The sequence below is a fragment of the Homo sapiens genome, chromosome 9 (genome assembly GCF_000001405.40).
Source record: "Homo sapiens chromosome 9, GRCh38.p14 Primary Assembly".
NCBI lineage: Eukaryota > Metazoa > Chordata > Mammalia > Primates > Hominidae > Homo > Homo sapiens.
The window spans coordinates 12,744,474-12,765,406 of NC_000009.12; the positions used below are offsets into that span (position 1 = coordinate 12,744,474).

The window sequence follows — 20,933 nt, forward strand, 5'->3', positions numbered from 1 at the left end:
TAGCTTTTGGATTACTTTGCTCTTGCCCCTCTTTCTCTCTCTCTCTTTTTTTTTTTTATTGAGAAAGAGTCTCTGTTGACCAGGCTGAAGTGCAGTGGCATGATCTTGGCTCACTGCAACCTCTGCCTCCCAACTTCCACACCCGATTACTTTTGTATTTTTAGTACAGATGGGGTTTCACCACATTGGCTACGCTGTTCTCAAACTCCTGACCTCAGGTGATCCACCTGCCTCAGCTTCCCAAAAGTGCTTGGATTACAGGCATGAGCCACTGCGCCCGGCCTCTCTAGCTCTTTTATTTGTGATGTTAGGGTGTCGATTTGAGATATTTCTAGCTTTCTAATGTGGGCATTTAGTGTTATAAATTTCCCTCTTAACACTGTTTCAGCTGTGTCCGCAAAATTCTGGTATGTTGTCTATTTGTTATTGGTTTCAAAGAATTTGTTGATTTCTGCTTTAATTTCATTATTTACCCAGGAGTCATTCAGGAGCAAGTTGTTCAATTTCCATGAAATTGTGTGGTTTTGAGTGAGCTTCTTAATCTTGAGTTTTAATTTGATTGCACTGTGGTCTGAGACTGTTTGTTATGATTTCAGTTCTTTTGCATTTGCTGAGGAGTGTTTTACTTCCAATTATGTGGTTGATTTTAGAATAAGTGCCATGTCACACTGAGAAGAATGTATATTCTGTTGATCTGAGGTTGAGAGTTCTGTAGATGTCTACTAGGTCCACTTGATCCAGAACTGAGTTCAATTCCTGAATATCCTTGTTAATTTTCTGTCTTGTTGATCTGTCTAATACTGACTGTGGGATGCTAAAGTCTCCCACTATTATTGTGTGGGAGTCTAAGTCTTGTTTTCGTTCTCTAAGAACTTCTTTGATGAATCTGGATGCATATATATTGAATCTGATGTATTGGGTGCATATATATTCAGAATAGTTAGCTCTTCTTGTTGAATTGTTCCTTTTACCATTGTGTAATGGCCTACTTTCTCTTTTTTGATCTTTGTTGGTTTAAAGTCTGTTTTGTCAAAGACTAGCATTTCAACCCCTGCTTTTTTTTTTTTTTTTTTTTTTTTTTTGCTTTCCATTTGCTTGGTAAGTTTTCCTCCATCCCTTTATTTTGAGCCTGTGTGTCTTTGCATGTAAGATGGGTCTCCTGTATACAGCGCACAGATGGGTCTTGACTCCTTATCCAATTTGCCAGTCTGTGTCTTTTAATTGAGGCATTTAACCCATTTACATATAAGGAGAGTATTGTTATATGTGAATTTGATTCTGTCATCATGATGCTATTTTATTATTTTGCACACTACTTGATGCAGTTTCTTCATAGTGTCATTGGTCTTTATATTTTGATGTGTTTTTGCAGTGGCTAGTACTGATTTTTCCTTTCCATATTTAGTGCTTCTTTCAGGAGCTCTTGTGGGGCAGGCCTGGTGGTTACAAAATCCCTCAGCATTTGCTTGTCTGGAAAGGATTTTATTTATCCTTCACTTATGAAGCTTAGTTTGGCTGGATATGAAATTCTGGGTTGAAAATCCTTTTCCTTAAGACTATTGAATATTAGCCCCCTATATCTTCTGGCTTGTAGAGTTTCTGCTGAGAGGCTTGCTGTTAGTCTGATGGACTTCCCTTTGTATGTGACCTGGCCTTTCTCTATGGCTGCCCTTAACAGTTTTTCCTTCATTTCAACCTTGGAGAATCTGATGATTATGTGTCTTGAGGTTGATTTTCTCATGAAGTATCTCAATGGTATTCTCTGTATTTCCTGAATTTGCATGTTAGCCTCTCTTGCTATGTTGGGGAAGTTCTGCTGGATAATATCCTGAAGTATGTTTTCCAGTTTGTTTCCATTTTCCCCGTCTCCTTCTGGTACACCAATCATTTGTAGGTTCAGTCTTTTTATGAAGTCCCATATTTCTTGGCGGCTTTGTTCATTCCTTTTCATTCTTTCATCTCTATTTTTGTCTGTATGTCTTATTTCAGTAAGGTGGTCTTCAAACTCTGATATGCTTTCTTTGACTTGGTCAATTCAGCATTGATACTTATGTATGCTTCATGAAGTTCCTGTGCTGTGTTTTTCAGCTCCATCGGGTCATTTATGTTCCTCTCTAAACTGTTTATTCTAGTTAGCAATTCTTCTAGCCTTTTATCAAGTTTCTTTGCTTCTTTGCATTTGGGTATACATGCTTCTTTGCATTGGGGTAGACATGCTCCCTTAGCTCAGTGTAGTTTTTATTACCCATCTTCTGAAGCCTACTTCTGTCAATTTGTCCATCTGATTCTCTGACCAGTTCTGCACCCTTGAAGGAGAGACATTGCAATCGTTTGGAGGAGACAAGGCACTCTGGGCCTTTTGAGTTTTTGGCATTTTTTTGATGATTCTTTCTCATCTTCATGAGTTTGTCTAGTTTTGGTCTTTGAGGCTGCTGACCCTTGGATGGGATTTTTGTGGGGGCCTTTTTGTTGTTGTGGCTGTTGTTGTTACTTTCTGTTTGTTTTTCTTTCAGTAGTTAGGGCTCTCTTTTGTAGGGCTGCTGCAGTTTGCTGAGGGTTCACTTCAGGCCCTATTCATCTGATTTTTCTCCTGTGCCCAGAGATGTCACTCAAGGCGGTGCCTCCCTTGGCTGGGGGAAGGGGGTTTCCCTTCCCCGTGTGGCTCTCAGGTGGGCCTTCTCTCCATGAGTCACGCCAGCCTTCTAGTCAATTTTGACGAGAGAACCTGGATACCTTGGTTGCTGGTGAAGGATTCACATGCTTATTATGTTTTTTCGTTTTTTTTTTTCTATGGGAGCCTCCAAACGTCGCTGCTTCTAGTCGGCCCTCTTCGGGAGGTGTTTTATGTGTATATCCATTTATTTATTCCTCCATCCATCCAGTAATTCATCTTCTTTGATGCATTTTAAAGTAAATTGTGGACTTCAGCATACTTCCTACTAGAGACTTCAGCATGCATAACATTAAATAAAACGAATATCTGTCCATCTTTTTTCTTTTGATGAAAAAATTATTTTCATAATATAAAATTCTTATGTGTACATTCACTGAATGCTGACAAATGTATACATCTGTGTAACTCAAATCTTTGTCAAAATATAGACTATTAACATTACTGCAGAAATATTCCTCATACTCTCTCCCATTCAATCTCTACTTTCACCTTCCCAGAGGCAACCACCATTCAGATTTTTTCCATTCTAGAACTTCATGTAATTGAATTCATACAATTTGTACACTTATGTGACTGATTTCTTTAGCTCTTTATGGTTATTGCTTTTGATGATACAAGTAATCTTTGATTACCACCGAATCAAAAAAATCCCTCCAAGTTTTCCTCTAAAAGCTCTATAATTTTAGCTATAGAATCATATATATATAGTTCATTTTGAATTAATTTTTGTGTATGAAGCGAAAGTCAAGATTCTTTTCTGTAATATGAATATCCAGTTATGCAGTATCATTTGTTGAAAAGACTTCTCCTTTTCAAGCGAGCAACTACCTTTCCACTATGTATTGCTTACCTTGAATTGTACTACTTAAAAATACCTTTTATTCATTTGCATATTTTATATCCTTATTTATTTTTAAGAGAATTGTAAAATGAGCAGTTTTTTAGTTAGTCAGTTCTATAAAACCTGCCTTATCCTCTCCAGCAGAAGCGAGTCATAATTGACCAGTTGAATCTGGCCTATGTTGTCATTTCCCTATAATGGACAAAGGATGTTTATTACACAGAATACAACAGCATTATACACTCTGATGAGTCAGAGATCCAGGAAAATTATGATTTAGTGTTAATTCACATGATACTTTCTTTAGTGCTGCTTACTAGCTGTAGTTTATGGCTCAATTCTTACCACTCCCTGAAAGTTACTCTGCCCTCAACAATTCTGAAGAACTTATTCCCAGAAAAGCAGGTTTCTCTCACCTCCAGATATTTGTACATGCTCTTATCTTTGCCCGTAATGCCTCTATCCTGATTTCAGAGCAATTCCTTTTACACCAAAGGAAACCTTTCTCAATCCCCCATCAGTGTTAAATAGTCCCCCCTAGCTTCCCCTATGGCTTCTTGGCATTAGATATATTTATCCATATTCCTCGAATTATTCTTCCTACGTTTCTCTCTCCTCCCCACACATAGCCTCCTTAACATAAGCCTGAAAAGCATAAATCTATTCTATCTTTCTTTGCACCCCTGTAAATTATGACAACCACAACAAGAGTAGATTTGCTGAATGAAAGAATTTGAATTTTCTGAGGTAGTTTAAATTTCAAGTCTCTTCTACCTTATCAATTAGTATATTTATATTTACAAGATCGCACAGATTGATCACTTAGTCTGGGAATTTTAGGCATCTTTTTATACCATAAACTGGGGAAAAACATCTCCCTTAAAAGAATTTTAAAAAGACATTTGTAAATGTACCTAGTGCATATTCTCAAGTTTCCTTATACATGGATATCGAACTAATGATTGTAGAAACACATTTCAAGTACATATTCTCAAAGAACTGTGTTAAATGTAGCCTATTCTTTTCCAAATGTTGTTTTCTCCTGGTATACTATTTGAGATTCTGAAGATAAAACATACAAATAAGTAGATGGAGTCCCAATTTTGCTATTTATCAGCTGTGTGAAAGTATCAGTGAGGACAGTTGGGGTGATGTTGCAATAACAGAGAAGCTGAAAAATCACAGTGGTCTCACTCCCACAACAAGACTAATCATAAGTCAGCTGCAACCCTATTTCTTGTTGCCATCACTCTGGGAATCAGGCTAGTGAAGAAGCCTGTATTTAAAATATTGCCAGTCATCAAGACAAAGGAAAAAGAGACATGGAGAACCACACTGTTAACTCTTGAAGCTTCTTCCTGGGAATGCTGCATGTCACTTCTATTCACATTTCTGATAGCCACCTCTGAGTTCATCAGGGCAGGATACATAATCCTCATGCAGAGAAGGAAGTTGAAATAGTGTGTTTCACAAAAGCAATTTAGTCTACCAAGTAAATAATCTTGGGGAAAACATGTATTCTGTGTTAGTTTCCTCATCGATAAAATGACAATAATGCAATGATGATAGTAACTACTTCACAGGGTTATGTGGATTAGCAGAGATAATGAATTCAAAATACTTAGTATAGTACCTGACATGTAATTATTACTCAGTAAGTGTTAGTTTAAAAAATAAAAGGGGAGGAATCTCAGTTTCTGTATCTGTCAAATAAGTAATAGACTAATTGATACCCATAATATCTGGGACTTCAGCCAGGTGGTTAGAACAACTAGAGATTACTAGAATGGCTCAATTGTGGACATAGGTCTTGAATCTCTATTTTTCTCCATGTGGAGTCTTTTGGGGTTGAAAATATCCAAAACGACTCCCTCACTCACAGGTTCATTCCCTGAGCTGGGATAGCTGTAACTTCTGGGGGCTGGCCAACATGGCTCTCTAGCCACACATGGTGGGCCCAAGGTAGCCTTACTTCTTATATAGCAGCTGGCTACGCTCAGAACAGACATTTCAAGAGAGAGTATTCTAAAAGGCCCAGAAAGATGTTATAAGGCTTCTTAAGACATAGCCTGAGTTCCAGAACCTCAGTCTCACTGCATACCATTAGGCAAGCATATCACTAAGGCCATTAGGGTTCTTATCTCTTTACTAAAGTTGAGTGAAGAACTTGAGTGGGTGTTGTTAGGGGAATACATATTGTAGTAACTGTGTGGTGGTTTATTTATTTTTTGTTTATTTATTTTGTATTCCTTGTGCTTACTTTTCATCTATATATCTTCTTTAGTGAAGTGTCCATTCAGATTTCTGGCCCATTGTTGAACTGAGCTGTTTGTTTTCTTATTTTGAGTTTTGAGATGTTTTAAAATGTATAGTTTAAATAGAAGTCCTTTGTCAAGTATATGATTTACAATTATTTTTTCCAGTCTGTAGTTATCTTTTCACTCTCTTTGCAGCACTTTTGTAGAGCAAAAGTTTTTACTACTGATAAAGTCCAGTTTGCCAAGATATGTTTTCTTTTTCTAGATCATGGTTTGGCATTATATCTAAGAAAATTACTTAACTCGAGGTCACAAAGATTTTCTGCTATGTTTTCTTCTAAACGTTTTGAAGTTACATTTTAAAGTTAGCTCTCTAAACCATTTTGAGTTAATTTTTGCATAAAGTGTGAGACAGAGGTTATGCTTCCTTTTTTTTTTTTTTTTGTATAGGATGTCCAATTGTTCCATACTATTTGTTGACAAGACTATCCATTTTTCCATTGAATTGCCTTCATGCCTTTGTCAAAAATCAATTGCCCATATTGGGTATATTTTTGGACTCTAATCTATTCATTGATTTATATGTCTATCTCTTTCCTAATGTCACACTATTTTTATTACTGTAGCTTTATAGTAAGTTTTAAAATAAGATAGTTTGGATTCTCTAACTTTGTTTTTCTTTTACAAAATGGTTTTGGCCATTCTAATTCTTTTTGCCTTTCCTTATAAATTTTAGAATCAGTTATTTAAATATGCAAAAAATTATTTTGGTATTTTGATTTGAATTGCAACTAATCTATAAATCTACCCGGGAAGAATTGGTAGCTTAACTGTGTTGAGTATTCCAATCCATGAGACCTGTATATCTCTCCATCTATTCAGGTGTTTTTTGTTTCTTTTTTTAAGTCAGAATTTTGTACTTTTTTGTGTACAGATCCTGTACATTCTATTAGATTTATACTTAAGTATTTCACTATTTGGTGCTACCATAAAAGATATTTTATTGCAGCTGTTCATTGTTTATTGCAAGTAAAAAGAAATATGATTGATTTTTATATACTGACCTTGTATAACAGGAACTTTTTAGACTCACTTATTAGTTCTAAAAGTTTTTGTGTAGATTCCTTTGGATTTTCTAGGGAGACCATCATGTCATCTGAAAATAGGAATAATTTCATTTTTCCCTTTCTTATGTGTAAATTTCTGATTTTTTCTTGCCATATTGTACTGTCCAAGACTTCTGGTTGAATAAACATGAAGAGAGTGGATATCCTTCCTTGTTCACAGTCTTAGGAGTAAAGAGTTTGGCCTTTCATCATTAAGTATAATGTTGATTAAAGGTAGATGCTATTTATCAGTTTAAGAAAGTCCTCTTCATTTTCCTGGTTTCTTCAGAGATTTTACCATAAATACATAATACATTTTATTAAGTACTATTTCTGCATGAATAGTTATAATCATCTGATTTACCTTTTTAATCCATTATGATGACAACTTTTATGAATAGTTTTTTAAGGCTTATTTGTTTAAGTAGAGACAAGGTCTCGCTATGTTCCCCAGGCTGGTGTCGAACTCCTGGGCTCAAGGGAGGCTCCAGCCTCAGCCTCCCAAAGTGCTGGGATTGCAGGCATGAGCCACCATGCTCAGCCTGTTTTTTAAATGCTGAACTATCTTGCATCTCAAGATAAATTTCACTTGGTTGTTATGTATTGTTCTTTTTATATAAGTCTAGATTTGATTTGCTAATATTTTGTTGAGGATTTTTGTGTCTATGTCCATGAGGGAAACTGGTCTCTAGATTTCTTTCCCTGTACTGCCTTTTTACATAAAGGTAATTCTGCCCTCATAAAATAAATTTGGAAGTACTCTTTCTTTAATTTCCTGGAAGATATTATATAGAATTGGTGTGATTTCTTCTTTTAAAATATTCAATACAATTCACCAGTGAAATCATTTGGGATTAGAGATCTCTGTTTTGGAAGATGTTAAACTATTAATTCAACTTCTATAATAGGCATAGATCTATAAAGTGAGAGTGAGTTTGGTATCTTGTGGCTTTCAAGAAAATGACCAAATTTATGTTGTTGAATTTATATACTTAGAGTTCTTCTTGGTTTTCCTTTATCAGCCTTTTAATGTCTGTAGTGATACATCATCTTTCACTGCTGATAGTAATAATTTTGTCTTTTCTCTTTTTTTACCTGGTCATTCCAGCTGTATGTTTATCAACTTTATTAGTCTCTTCTAGAAAAAAAGCTTTTGATTTCATTGATTTTTGTCTCTATTTTGTTATTTTTTCTATTTAATTGATTTTGGACCTTATGTTTTTTTCTGATTTTTTTGGGTTAGTGTTGCTTTTCATCTGCTAGTTTCTTAAGTAGATACTTACCTTGTTGATTTAAGACTTTTCTTCTTTTCTAATGTAATCATTTAATGCTATAAATGTCCCTCTGAATGCTGTTTTAGCTCCATTACATACAATTTTATATGTTATATTTACATTTTAGTTCAGGTCAAAATATTTCCTAATTTTCTTTGAGGCTGTCTCTTAGATCTCATGGATTATTTAGAAGAATATTTTAACTTACACCTATTTGAGAATTTTGCAGATAGCTTTTTGTTATTGATTTCCAGTTTAATTATATTAGTGTCAGAGACTATATTTCATATGAATTCAATTTTTAAACATTTGTTAGGTTTTATTTTTTGACCCAGACCTGGCCTATCTTGGTTAGCGTTTCATGGTCACTCAACAGGAAATTAAAATCTACAGTTGTTTGGCAGAGCGTCCTATTAATGTCATTACATCCAACTGGCTGCTGGTTTTATTCAGTTCTTTATACTGGCTTTCCTTCTGTCAGCATGTTTCATCAATTACTAAGAGAAAAGTATTGAAGTCTTCACAGCCATAATTGTAGATTTGCTTATTTCTTGTTTCAGTTCTCAGTTTTTGCTTCATGTGCTTTGAAGTTTTGTTATTAAGAACATACACATTCAAAATCATTAGGTGTTTTTTGTGAATTAACTTTTATTGTTATGTAATGCCCTTTTTTATTCTTGAAAATTTTCCTTGCCCTGAAGCCTACCTTTTCTTATATGAATATGCTCTTCCAGCTTTCTTTTGATTAGAGTTTGAGTTGCATATCTCTCTTCAACCTTTTATTTTATTTGTTTTTTTGAGACAGCTTCTTATTCTGTTACCCAGGCTGGAGTGCAGTGACATGATCTCGGCTCATTCTAGCTTTGCTCTCTCATGTTCAGGTGATCCCGCCACCTCAGCTTCCCAAGTAGTTGGAACTACAGGCACACACCACCATGCCTGACTAATTTTTGTATTTTGTGTGGAGATGGGGTCTCGCCATGTTGTCCAGACTGGTTTCTAATTCCTAGGCTCAAGCGATCCACCCATCTTGGTCTCCCAGAGTGCTGGGATTGCAGGCATGAGCTAAGGCGCTCAGCATCCTTTTATATTTTAAACCTATGTAACCTGTTTAAATCTAACAGAGATAATTGATTTGTTGTTGTTGTTTTAGCAGGCTGATTAGATTCTCCACATATTTTTGATTCACATTCCGTGGACTATGATTCCAATGTTAGTTCACTATCCAAAGTGTTTGCAATACAATTTACATCTTTCTTGTGTGCCTGCCACCCAGTGACCAGTCTGGGACTTAGACTGTAGTCTACCCCAAAGTTCAGTTGTCAAAGCTTTTGATACACTGTTTAGCATCAGACCTACCCTGGCTCTTGGATGAGCCCAGGAATTCATACACATTTCATGAGATTGTTTCCTCAAGCTGCTTCTCTTCTGGATCTCTCCAGCACTCCCCAGCACTCAGGGGCCCTCTTTTCTGGGCTTCTGGCTAGACAGCCTGGGCTTTCACTGTTCTGCTCTACTGAACACTTCCCATGACTCAACTGGCCTGCAGGGCCAAATGGCAAGAGGATAAAGAGGGGGAAAAAGTAACAGTTTCTCCGCGTTCTTTTTGGATCATAGGTCCTCTGGTCAGAGAGTAGAATCCCCCTCCCTTAGAGCTTTACGCATTTGCTCACAGCTGACACCATCATTGCCCCATACAACCCCAAATGGTGCAAAAATCAGAGCTCAGCAACTGGTGCTTGTTTGGAGGCAGGGGTGGTATAAAAAGAAAAGAACAAAATGAAATGAAACCAAAAACACAATGTTTTATTCCCCAGTCTCTCTGTCCTTAGGAGCTCCTTTTTTCATTTCTTAGACAATACAAAGAGGTTTCTTTGGAACATTTAGGGCTTTTACCTAGTACATAGTTCCCGATTTGGGCTTCGTTTAAAGTTCAAACAAGAAATATTGAAAAACAAAATTAAGCAAACAAGACAAAATAACGAACTAACCATGAGATCATTTATACGGTGTATTATTTTCTTTCCTAATCTGCCTATTACCACCTGGGTCTGAGTTCTCAGAAGCATTCTGTTTAGGTTTTCAGTTGTATGCAGTGGGGAAGAAGAAGTTAAATATGCTTGCTCTATCTTATCTTGAGCTGCAGAGTATCATATCAAAAGCAATTTGAAAGTGTAAAGTTTCGTTGTTCCTTGCAGGTTTTCATATATTTTGTTTTGACATGACATTAATTCCAAATATGAAACTGCTCGAGTTGCATAAATACAAAATAAATATATATTTTTTATTATTTTGATAAAATGTATCTCAACATTTATTTAACAAATAGGATTCCTAACTCTACTTATTTGAATCTATGTTTAACTATTTGGATTTAACATACATATTTGTATTGGAAGGAGGGGAGAAGACTGAGCTCATTATCAAGATTATGATTACTTTATATATTTTAGGGACTAGATTTATGTTTCTGAAAATCATATTCACCTAAATTTTAACAGCATTTAAAGTCAACTCATGTGCCTAATATGGATTAGAATACACATATTTACTCAGCTGGATGAGTATAATATCAGCACTGGCAGTTTAGGATTGGGGATAACAGATTAACTTTAGTCTGTTTATCACAAAGCACAAGGGTTGTGTATCTAGACAGTATTCCCTCTTTGTAACAGCTACTTATACACAAGCAAAGACATAACTAATGAATTATGTAGATCATATGAAGCTCAATTCATGACATCTGAAGTAAAACATTATATACAATTCAAAGTTTATAAAAGAATCTCAAATTTGTTCCAAAAACAGGAGAAAATATTCAACAAACCCCATAGCAGAATTTTGGGAGAAGTGTTAAACCTCTCTCCCTATAGGCTCAAATGACTTTTTCAGATTTTGTGGAAACATTTTATTGAATGTTTTTATAAGAAAGTTAAACGTATTACATACAGTCTTTATTGTGTGTCTGAAAGAATACTAGCTAAGCACTCTTCAACAATTAGAAATGAAATCAACAAATTACATTTTCCATGGCATTTGTCTATTCTGAACCTCTTTTTTTTAGCCTGGGTCCTTAAAAAACTAGAGTAGTCACTGATAAGCTTTGGCAGTTATAAATCTATGGAAATTTTAGGCCCATTTTTGTACAATTTTAAAAAGTTTGATAACGGGTTGATAGGTGCAGCAAATCACCATGACACACATATATCTATGTAACAAACCTGCATGTTCTGCACATGTATTCTGGAACTTAAAATAAAATTAATTTTTAAAAAACTGTTCATGTTGTACCATTTTTAATTTTTTTGTTAATGAGGGTTCCCTAGAATTATCAAGTTCATATAACAGACATCCAAAGAATATTAAGAACTTCCTGTCCAGAGACAACATAGAATGGAAGCATGAACACAAACAAGGAGTCTTCATTTATTTTCCTGCTTCCATCTATTCATGTAGCTTTGGACAAGTTACTTTCCTAGGTTTTCATTTTTTTTTTGGAATCCCTGAGAATTTCATAATATGGGTTCTGTAACTTTAACTATATTCAGTGTCCTCTTTCCAAACTGGGACCTATAGCCTACCCTTTCGACCTAACTTTCGGCAATACTTCCAATTTCTTTGTTTATTTTTCTTTTGAATCCTACCAAAGTAACAAAACATCAACCTAACCATCCTTGCTCTTCACTTCAACTTCAGTTCTACTGAGGCTGTTAGGAAGTCACCAAAGTTTTATATCTGTGCTTCATGATTTCCCACTAAATTCCACTATGGTGGTTAATACCGAGTGTCAACTTGATTGGATTGAAGGATGCAAAGTATTGATCCTGGGTGTGTCTGCGAAGGTGTTGCCAAAGGAGATTAACATTTGAGTCAGTGGGCTGAGAAAGGAAGACCCACCCTCAGTCTGGATGGGCACCATCTAATCAGCTGCAGGCGTAGCCAGTATATAAAGCAGGCAGAAAAATGTGAAAAGCTTAGACCGGCATAGCCTCCCAGCTTACATCTTTCTCCCGAGCTGGATGCTTCCTGCCCTTGAACATTGGACTCCAAGTTCTTCACCTTTGGACTCAGACTGGCTTCCTTGGTCCTCAGCTTTCAGACGGCCTATTGTGGGGCCTTGTGATCACATGAGTTAATACTACTTAGTAAACTCCCATATATTTATATATATATATATATATATATATATATATATATATATATATATATATATATATACACCAGCTAATACATCTACCCTCAAGGCCTCTTAGGGATGTATTGGGTGCTTCCCTAGTCAGCTCCCTTTTCCGTTCCTCATGATGAAACTCTTTTCCTTTCCTCATGATGAAACTCTCCAACATCTCCAATAGAACAGACTGGAGACTTCTAGTGACTTTTGCCTGACAATGCCTTATTCTCACTTTCCGAAATCCAGTTCATCAGAGGAAATGTAAGTGGACATCCCATTGGCTAATCTCTCACCTTTTTCATAGCCATGAACTATGTTATTTTTCATGCACACTATACCTAAAAACCCATCATCTGAATATCAGAACTGGTCCTAAATTGGATGCTTCAGTGGGAGATTTGTCTTCAGTTGCCTGCTATACTCACATTCCACTTGCAGCACCTTTTTCTGTCCTCTCAGCACTTTGCTCAAACTATTTAACTAGCCAGAATCCCTAGGCTTTCCAGTTCTCTTCTATAAGACAAGAAATTAATTTAGGACAAATGAAAGCATACTCAACTGCTAAAGTCACCCTCTTCAGGGAGCATTTGCATTTTGAAATAAGCTTGACAAAACAGGTTTCTTCTTTGTTAGAGAATGAGTCCTCTATTTGGATTTTCTAGTATACTGACTTACAAAAAGAGGGATAAGTATGAGGTAGAGGCACCCCTAAAATAAAAAAGCATCTCTTCTTCTAATGTAAAGGATCGAAAGTGAGAATATGTTGTTTCGTTTGATTCTGTGGGGGTTAGATTTTGTGTGATTGTATGAGAAAGATAATTTGTATGTTTTGTTGTCCACCATATTCTAAGGTTTAAAATACTTATAAAATCAGATGGAGAAATGAGTAACAGGAAATTATTATATTATCTAAATGCATCTCTGATTTACTTACTAAACTGCATAAAAACTCATCACATGCAGTGCACAGTAATAATACTGTATAATAATGATCTGTAGTGATTCACCAAACACTTTCTATTCCTCAGTCATGAATAGTCTTAAAAGTACAGAGAAAAATCCATTTCATCCCCAATAGCTATTATAACTAACTACATATTAGTGTTATGTGTTTTTACTTAAACTGTAGAAAATTATTATACAACATATTTTATATAGAACAATAACCTCACAAAAATTTCTAAGAAAAAGGGATTTCGTGGCTATATAAGTTTAGGAAGAGCTGTAAACTATATAACCTCTTGGAGATTTAAAATGCACTTGACCCTATAAAAGGCTTTGATTTGCTCTACAGTAAAGAAATCTAACTTTTTTGGTAAAACTTTCCCCAAATTGATTAGACCACTGAACTCTCCATTTCACATAATGCCCTTAACATTCTGAACCAGTATACTTCATAACATATTTTGGGAAACATTCTGGTAGACTCTTGTCCATTGGGAGGGATATATTCTGGAGCTCTCATAAATCCCCAAATTCATGAATATCACTGTAGCATATAATTTCTGTCATAAAATACACAAATGTTGATCCTTATTGCAACAGTCACTGAAACACTTTGCTGAATTGTTTTCCCTGTCTCTGTGAGCAGTACATGGTAGACTCATTCATGTCATAAAGTCCAAATACCTTCACTGAATTAGGCACTAAACTCTTCATTTACCCCAAACTTCATTGGTTAAAACCTGCTATTTCCTTGACTTCTTTATTTTTCCTTTACTTGTACTACAAGGATTAGCAAAGGAGAGTTCTGAGGACAATTTCTCTCTCTTTCTCTCTCTCTCATAAACACAGGCATGCACACACCACACGCACACACGCAAACACACACACACACAGAGTTTTGTTTTGTTTTTTTTGTTTTGCATTGTATTCTTTGGGGCAAGAGGGTAAATTGTGATGCAAGCTCTCAAGGCACTACACGTATATAAGTGGAAGTAATATATAAACATGTATATATTATGAACATATATGCACACACATATATAACATATATACATATATATGAAATCAAACTTTCTGTTTAACCCATAATGATATACCAATAAAACAGGAATTTTGGGAAATGCTGGTGTCATATTGGAAAAGATTTTAGAGTCAAAAGAACTGGGTGTACTCTAGGCACCTTAAGCAAGTTACTTTATCTCTTTAGGATGTATAGTCCTCATCTGCTAAACAGGATTACAAGAGTTTGACAACTAGCCGAGATAAGGTATGTAAAGTGTCTGGCACCTAGGAAAATATCAAAAGGTAGTAATAATTATATAAGGAACAGCATCATATCTGAAATGAAGTCTATAAAGATTTCATGCATGCCCACCTGTATAGACATCAAGGCTAATAGCATGTTTGATTTTATCAACACCGTTTGCGAGCTAGTTCAGATTTAAGTAGTATGAAAAATTCAATAAACATCTCTTCCAGCCCTAAATAAAGAGGATGATACTCCGTAACCGAAATTCTGAAAGTAAATAGAGAATAACATCTTAGAACCAGTGCTCTTCTCAGTGTAGAGGCCAACAGCACACTAATTTTACATGCTTCTCCGTATCGTGCGTCATCTTCTGGAATTAGCAATCTTTTTCTTTGAAAACATAGCTGGATGCCAACTTTCTACTTATTCCTATTTAGGTCAATGCTCGGTAAGTATTTTTTTAGTAAAGAAATTAACATTAGATGAAATTATTGATAGTCCAAAGAGCAGAGATTTATAGCACTGACAACAGACAAAAGAAATGATAGTCATCTGCTTACTTTTCCACATAGAAGTTATTCTTTTTTTCTTCTCATATCCTCTATTTGACCGCTCAAATACTCTCCATCTTGCCTGAAACAAAAAAAGATGTGAATATAACATAATAGTAGAAAACTTTCATGTTCGATCCCCCTTTGTTCTACTTCCCTGTGTTGTGGCAGTGAAATTGGACAGAATCTCTATGAGGCAATGTGTCACAAATGGCAGGAATACAATACTTAATACACCACCATCTCTCTCTGACTTATAGACACAAACACACACACACACACACAAAGAAACCCATGGTATAGTAGATAGTGTTTCATGTGACTGATACCAAACAAAACACAAACAATGACTGGATTATTGCAACAACAGAGTCCATGCCATGGTTTCTGGGAACCTTTGGCAGCTATCTGCAATTTTAAGTGCTTGTTTTGCTAACTTTATGTTAGCAGGACTGTGAGCTTCAAGATGTGTGCCTTGTCCATTTAAAGAAGTTCCACTCATTCTGTGTGCTTCTCACCACATGAAAATAAAGCCAGAGCAAACAAATAATGCTCAGGGCTGAGTCACTTCACAAACCTCACTCGAAAAGAGTCTAGAAGGTCTTCTCACTTTCCCTGTATGGTATGGTAAAACCATAATATTAAGCTTGTGCAGGTCACCCTTTTTAAGATTAATTATTGTAGAAATCCTAATTTTGGAGGGGTATAGGGTAGGTTTTATTTGCTGTCATCTTGTCTGTTATAGACAAAACATTGATATGAAAGAAGAGGTCATCTTTCTTAAACAAGGTTAGGTAAAATTAATTCGTCCCTCCTAACAATCCTGTGATATAGATAGTATTAGCTTTCTAACATAGAAAATGAAAATTTGATCCAGCAGTTAAGCAACATGTGCCAAACCCTCAGGAGAACCTAGATTGTAGAGCAGGTACTCTAAAACCCAACTTAAATCTTCCTAATTTACACCTTTGTATGCCTTTTACTGCATTCATGAGCATGGTTCAGAAAATGTTTAGGAAACACCTTTGCCTAAGAAATATTTAATGAGGGCAAACAGTACAACTAAGAATAGTGTTATTGCTGGCAGCTTCCACTAAATCTATGCGTACAGTATAAGAAGGTAAAAAAATCAGTGAACATTTTTGAAGGATGATAGTTGTATTTAAAAAGCAAATCGTAATCTTCTCTCACAAACACCTCCAAAGGTGCTTAATGAAAAACGAGAAGGTGTGAATGTTATGATCTCAGCTCACACTGAGGATTCTTGTAACTATAATGAAAAATCCTTGATAGATTATTTAATCTATTTAAGTATTGGTTTTCTAATACAAAATCAGAATTGCACAACTTGGGTGACTGGTAAAAAGAATGAGTAACTCGGTGGTGATACACTTAAGTTCACAATATTATTGCCTGTAAATTTCCTGTGAATACACAATCAACTGACAATCCTTTATTGCCCATATCAGTTCTAGATATGGTAAGAGATCAAAACAAACATATGACACACATCATCCTGGAGGAGCCTACAGGAATTTGGTGAGACAGAATTTACAGACATAAAGAATTAAAATGCACTAGAAGATAATAAAGAATCAAATTTTATGAAACATCTTGCTCTATCTATCCACTATTGTTATCCACATTTTTCCCCAAAAAACAACTAAAGTTTACCCTGTGAAGCCTTTTTTTGAATTTTCTAGCTTATAGATTCCTCTCTTAGGCACTGTCTATTTAAATCACATCTTTATCAATTAGTATATATCTTTGCCTTTTTAATTAAAAAAAAATATACAACCTACTTCTCCGATTAGTTTATAAGTCTCTTGCTCAAGGTCCATATATTATTCCTTCTCATATCTTCAAAGCCAGATGCTTTGTTTTGCACAATGAAGGTACTACTCATTTTTTCCAGATTATCATAAAAATGATGACAATTGTTAATGAAGTATGAATTCACAGAACAAAGCAGAACAAAGCAACCACAAAGACAACAGCTGGTACCACTGAATTCACTTTACTGTGAGATCCAGCAGCGTGATAATTATGTCATTTTCATGTTTTATCTCTTGTTTTTGTCCTAACATGATGCCTGACACATATTAGATATGTCAATTTTTGACAAAGGAAGAAGAGTAGAAAGGGAGAGAGAATTGAAGGAAGGGAGAAATGAATCTGGGTATTAACAAATGGACTGGAATATAAGACAAGGTGCGAATTCTAGGCAAGAGGAACATTATCAACAAAGGACAGGTGGTTGATATTGACAGTGTGTGAGTATGTATGTGTTTGTGATGTTATGTGGAGGCCATTCCAACTGGAACAAAAAATTTATTTTATTATGGACATTATGTTGAACAGATGAGACATGCTTTATGCTGTGGAAGCCATACTGTGAAAATTAGAATAAATAATTCAAAATTGGAGCTAGAGGCAACAAAGCCATTACAGATTCTTAAGATGATGAAAAGTATTTGTATTTGTTTTAAATTACTTAGAAAGAGCATCTTGCAAGTTAGGTGAGAAAACTACATTCAGATCAAAATGTGATCATGGAGTGATAAACTAGAACTACAGCAGGATTGCCAAAATAGAAAAAAAATTACTGAAAGAAAATCAGTGGGGTTTGATGATTAACTGAATGTAATAGTAAAAGAGATAGAGACATCCTAAATATTAGCAAATCTCTAGATGGTGGGAGAGGTGGAACTCACAAATTGTGGGGCCCATACATTAAAATAAGGAAGTATGAAAAATAGTTGGTTTGAGGAAAGTTATAAATTTAATTTTGGATATGGTGATTTTATAGAGTGGTGCATAATTCAAAGGGATGTACTGTGGATTTTAAAAATAAAGGGATAGACAGAATGAAAAGCCAGGGAATTGGGAGTCACATGAGGTAGTAGAAAGGACCCCATATTAGAGACAAAATTACAAAGCCACAAGTTCTGTTCAGAGCAATGGAGAAGGTGTTTAGGGCTTGAATTATTATTTTCTTTAAGTCACTTAACATCTCTGAGTATTTATGTTTCTTTTTTTTTTAATTTTTTTTTTTTTTTTTTTTTTTTTTTGAGACAGAATCTTGCTCTGTTGCCCAGGCTGGAGTACAGTGGCGCAATCTCCGCTCACTGCCACCTCTGCCTCCTGGGTTCACGCCATTCTTCTGCCTCAGCCTCTTGAGTAGCTGGGACCACAGGCACATGCCACCACACCCGGCTAGTTTTTTTGTATTTTTAGTAGAGACGGGGTTTCACCGTGTTAGCCAGGATGGTCTTGATCTCCTGACCTCATGATCCGCCTGCCTTGGCCTCCCAAAGTGCTGGGATTACAGGCGTAAGCCACCGCACCCGGCCTGAGTATTTATGTTTCTTAAAATATTAAAAGATCACATTAGTTTCTGCTATTATTATCACATTATGAGGATAAAATAAAATGGTGATTATTAGAATTCTTGGAAATTGTCAAATCTTATGTAAGTCAAATTTAGAGATCAGAGGCAGAGGTATGATCTATATAGAGTTGGATTATCTGCTTTTCCTAGTAACTTACAGAGGAATATTACTCTCCCACATCTACTTTGAAAGCAATAGAAGATAGCAAAACTATGGAAAACAAAGAAATTATTTTCTGAAAAAACAAATCCTAGGACTGGTTGAGTTTTCTTCTGTCAAGCAAACACTTTTATTTTCTTAATTATAAAATAAAAACAAGACACCCCTACTCACTTATCAAATTTGTTTTACAGGCTTCAGCAAAGGGACCTGAACAGGTGCAAAAACAGAGACCCTGAGTAGGTAGAAGAGAGAGGCAGTGGTGCTGGTGACAAGGCTATATGGCCCTCTGAAAGCACCGATCTACAAAGAACTAGACCACATAGAGACTTGATCACTGGGGATTTTGACTAGAAAGGGGAGAAAGCATTTAATAATTATTAAGCACATGAACTCTGGATTCAGACAGAGGGGTGTTTATCCTCAGATAAACCACAACTTCTAGCTGTGTAGCAATGGGATATTTACTGGTGAGCTAAGCCACTAATTATAATATGGAGACATAAGACAACCTACCTCCTGGTGGTGTTGTGAAGATATGAGATACAGAGTAAGTACTCAATATGCACTAGTTGACATTATTATAAGGAAATAGAATTAAATCTGCATTGACCAGCATGATGAGGACATCACTCTTTTCTACTTGAAGTTGTTAAATATAAGAATAAAGAAAGGGATAAGAGAGAAAAGGGCAAGAAAGGAAGAAAGGAAGAGAGGGAATGCAGCAAGGATGGGTAAATAAAGAAGGGGAAATGGGATAAAAATGAGAAAGAACGAAGAGGCAAATAATGGAAAAGTTTGAAAAGAGCAATGGTAAAAGAAAACAGGGAAATAATGATTTAAATTAATACTTATAGTTTCAGATTTCTATATATTTTTCCTTGGCCATTATAATAGAAGCAGGACAAAATAAAATATAACTGGGAATGAAATTGGATACAAATTTTACAGGAAAATTCATGGGAAGCAGAAGAAAAAGGGAGAAAAGAGCCTTGGTGTTGGACCTATGAGAATTGATTGCAAGTGTAAAATATGACTTCATCTAGTTCTTTTCAGGGCCTTCTTTTTTCATATCTCTGTCACTATTTAAAAATATTTCTTAAATAATGTACAATGCAAGCCTTCTTAGTCAAATATGCCTTGGCCTTTATACACTACTTTAAACAAAGTACACTTACATAATTAGGAACGGTGCTATAATACAAAGCAAAGGTATTATATTACACCAGGAAACTTCAGTTCTATAAAACAGAGGTTATATTTTAGCAAACTAGCAAATCTTTTTTTAATCCCTATTCATACACAATTCAGAATGATGTAATGCCAGGTTATACATCAACTAAACTATTCTTTTAAGGCATCTCTGACCCAAATGCCTGTGGAATCTGTCTGGAGTTGATAGTATGCTGAAGAAATGAATAAACTCTGTGCTTGATCTTCTATAGATTACCACAGTTCTCATACAAGAACCAAAAATAACTCAATATAAGATACTCACATTATGCTTAGAAAATGAATATTAGTAAATGATGCAAGCTCATTGAGTTAGGACTTAATGCAGTTTTCTTGTGAATTGAGGTATCCTTCATATAGTCGGAGATTTACAGATTTGGTAACCAAGAGACTTTTTTTTTTTTTTTTTTTTTAGAGACAAGGGCATTTTTTTCAGAGACAAGGACTTGCTATGTTGCCTATGCTGAAGTGTCCTGCTATTCACAGGAGGCGTGATCCCACTACTTAGCACAGGAGGTTCGACCTCTTCCATTTCCCACCTGGTCCAGTGTACCGCCCTTTGGGCAACCTGGTGGTTTTCTGCTCCTAGAAGGTCACATTATTGATGCCAAACTTAGTGCAGACACCAGATCAGCATAGCATACTACAGCTCAGAACTCCTGGACTCAAACAATCCTCCTACCTCAGCCTCCCCAGTAGTTTGGACTATAGGCAGACACCTGCCTTTGCAAACTTTCAATCTGTAAGATGTGTACATTTAAGGTTGGCCACAGACAAAATTGTATAGTACCTGCAGTTGTATTCCATGGCTCATTACATCTCAAGCTCCTCTCCTACTCACACACCCAGACATACATACACAAGAACTCTATCTCCTTCTACACAGGACTCCCAATCAAGTCCCTACTCTATAGTTTTGGTTTTGGCCCTTCCCATGATACTATCTTCTATCTCATTCTCCCTCCAGCCAGTGATTTGCTAACTAAGATGGCATGACACAAACCAGGCAAAGAGTTCCTGAATATTCATGAATTGAATTTCTTTCTAGTTACCATATTTGCAATTGAAGGGGAAAGTTAA

General features: G+C 35.7%; 1 long non-coding RNA gene and 1 pseudogene across 1 annotated transcript in view; both read right to left on the minus strand.

Annotated features, from left to right (window-relative positions):
- Window positions 1-20,933, minus strand: part of LURAP1L-AS1 (LURAP1L antisense RNA 1) — a 114,391-nt gene that overhangs the window by 44,475 nt on the left and 48,983 nt on the right. Inside the window, exon 3 of the long non-coding RNA NR_125775.1 lies at window positions 15,079-15,151. This is a non-coding gene — a long non-coding RNA (LURAP1L antisense RNA 1). The remainder of the gene's footprint in view (window positions 1-15,078; window positions 15,152-20,933) is intronic.
- On the minus strand, window positions 20,288-20,582 carry RN7SL849P (RNA, 7SL, cytoplasmic 849, pseudogene; annotated as a pseudogene).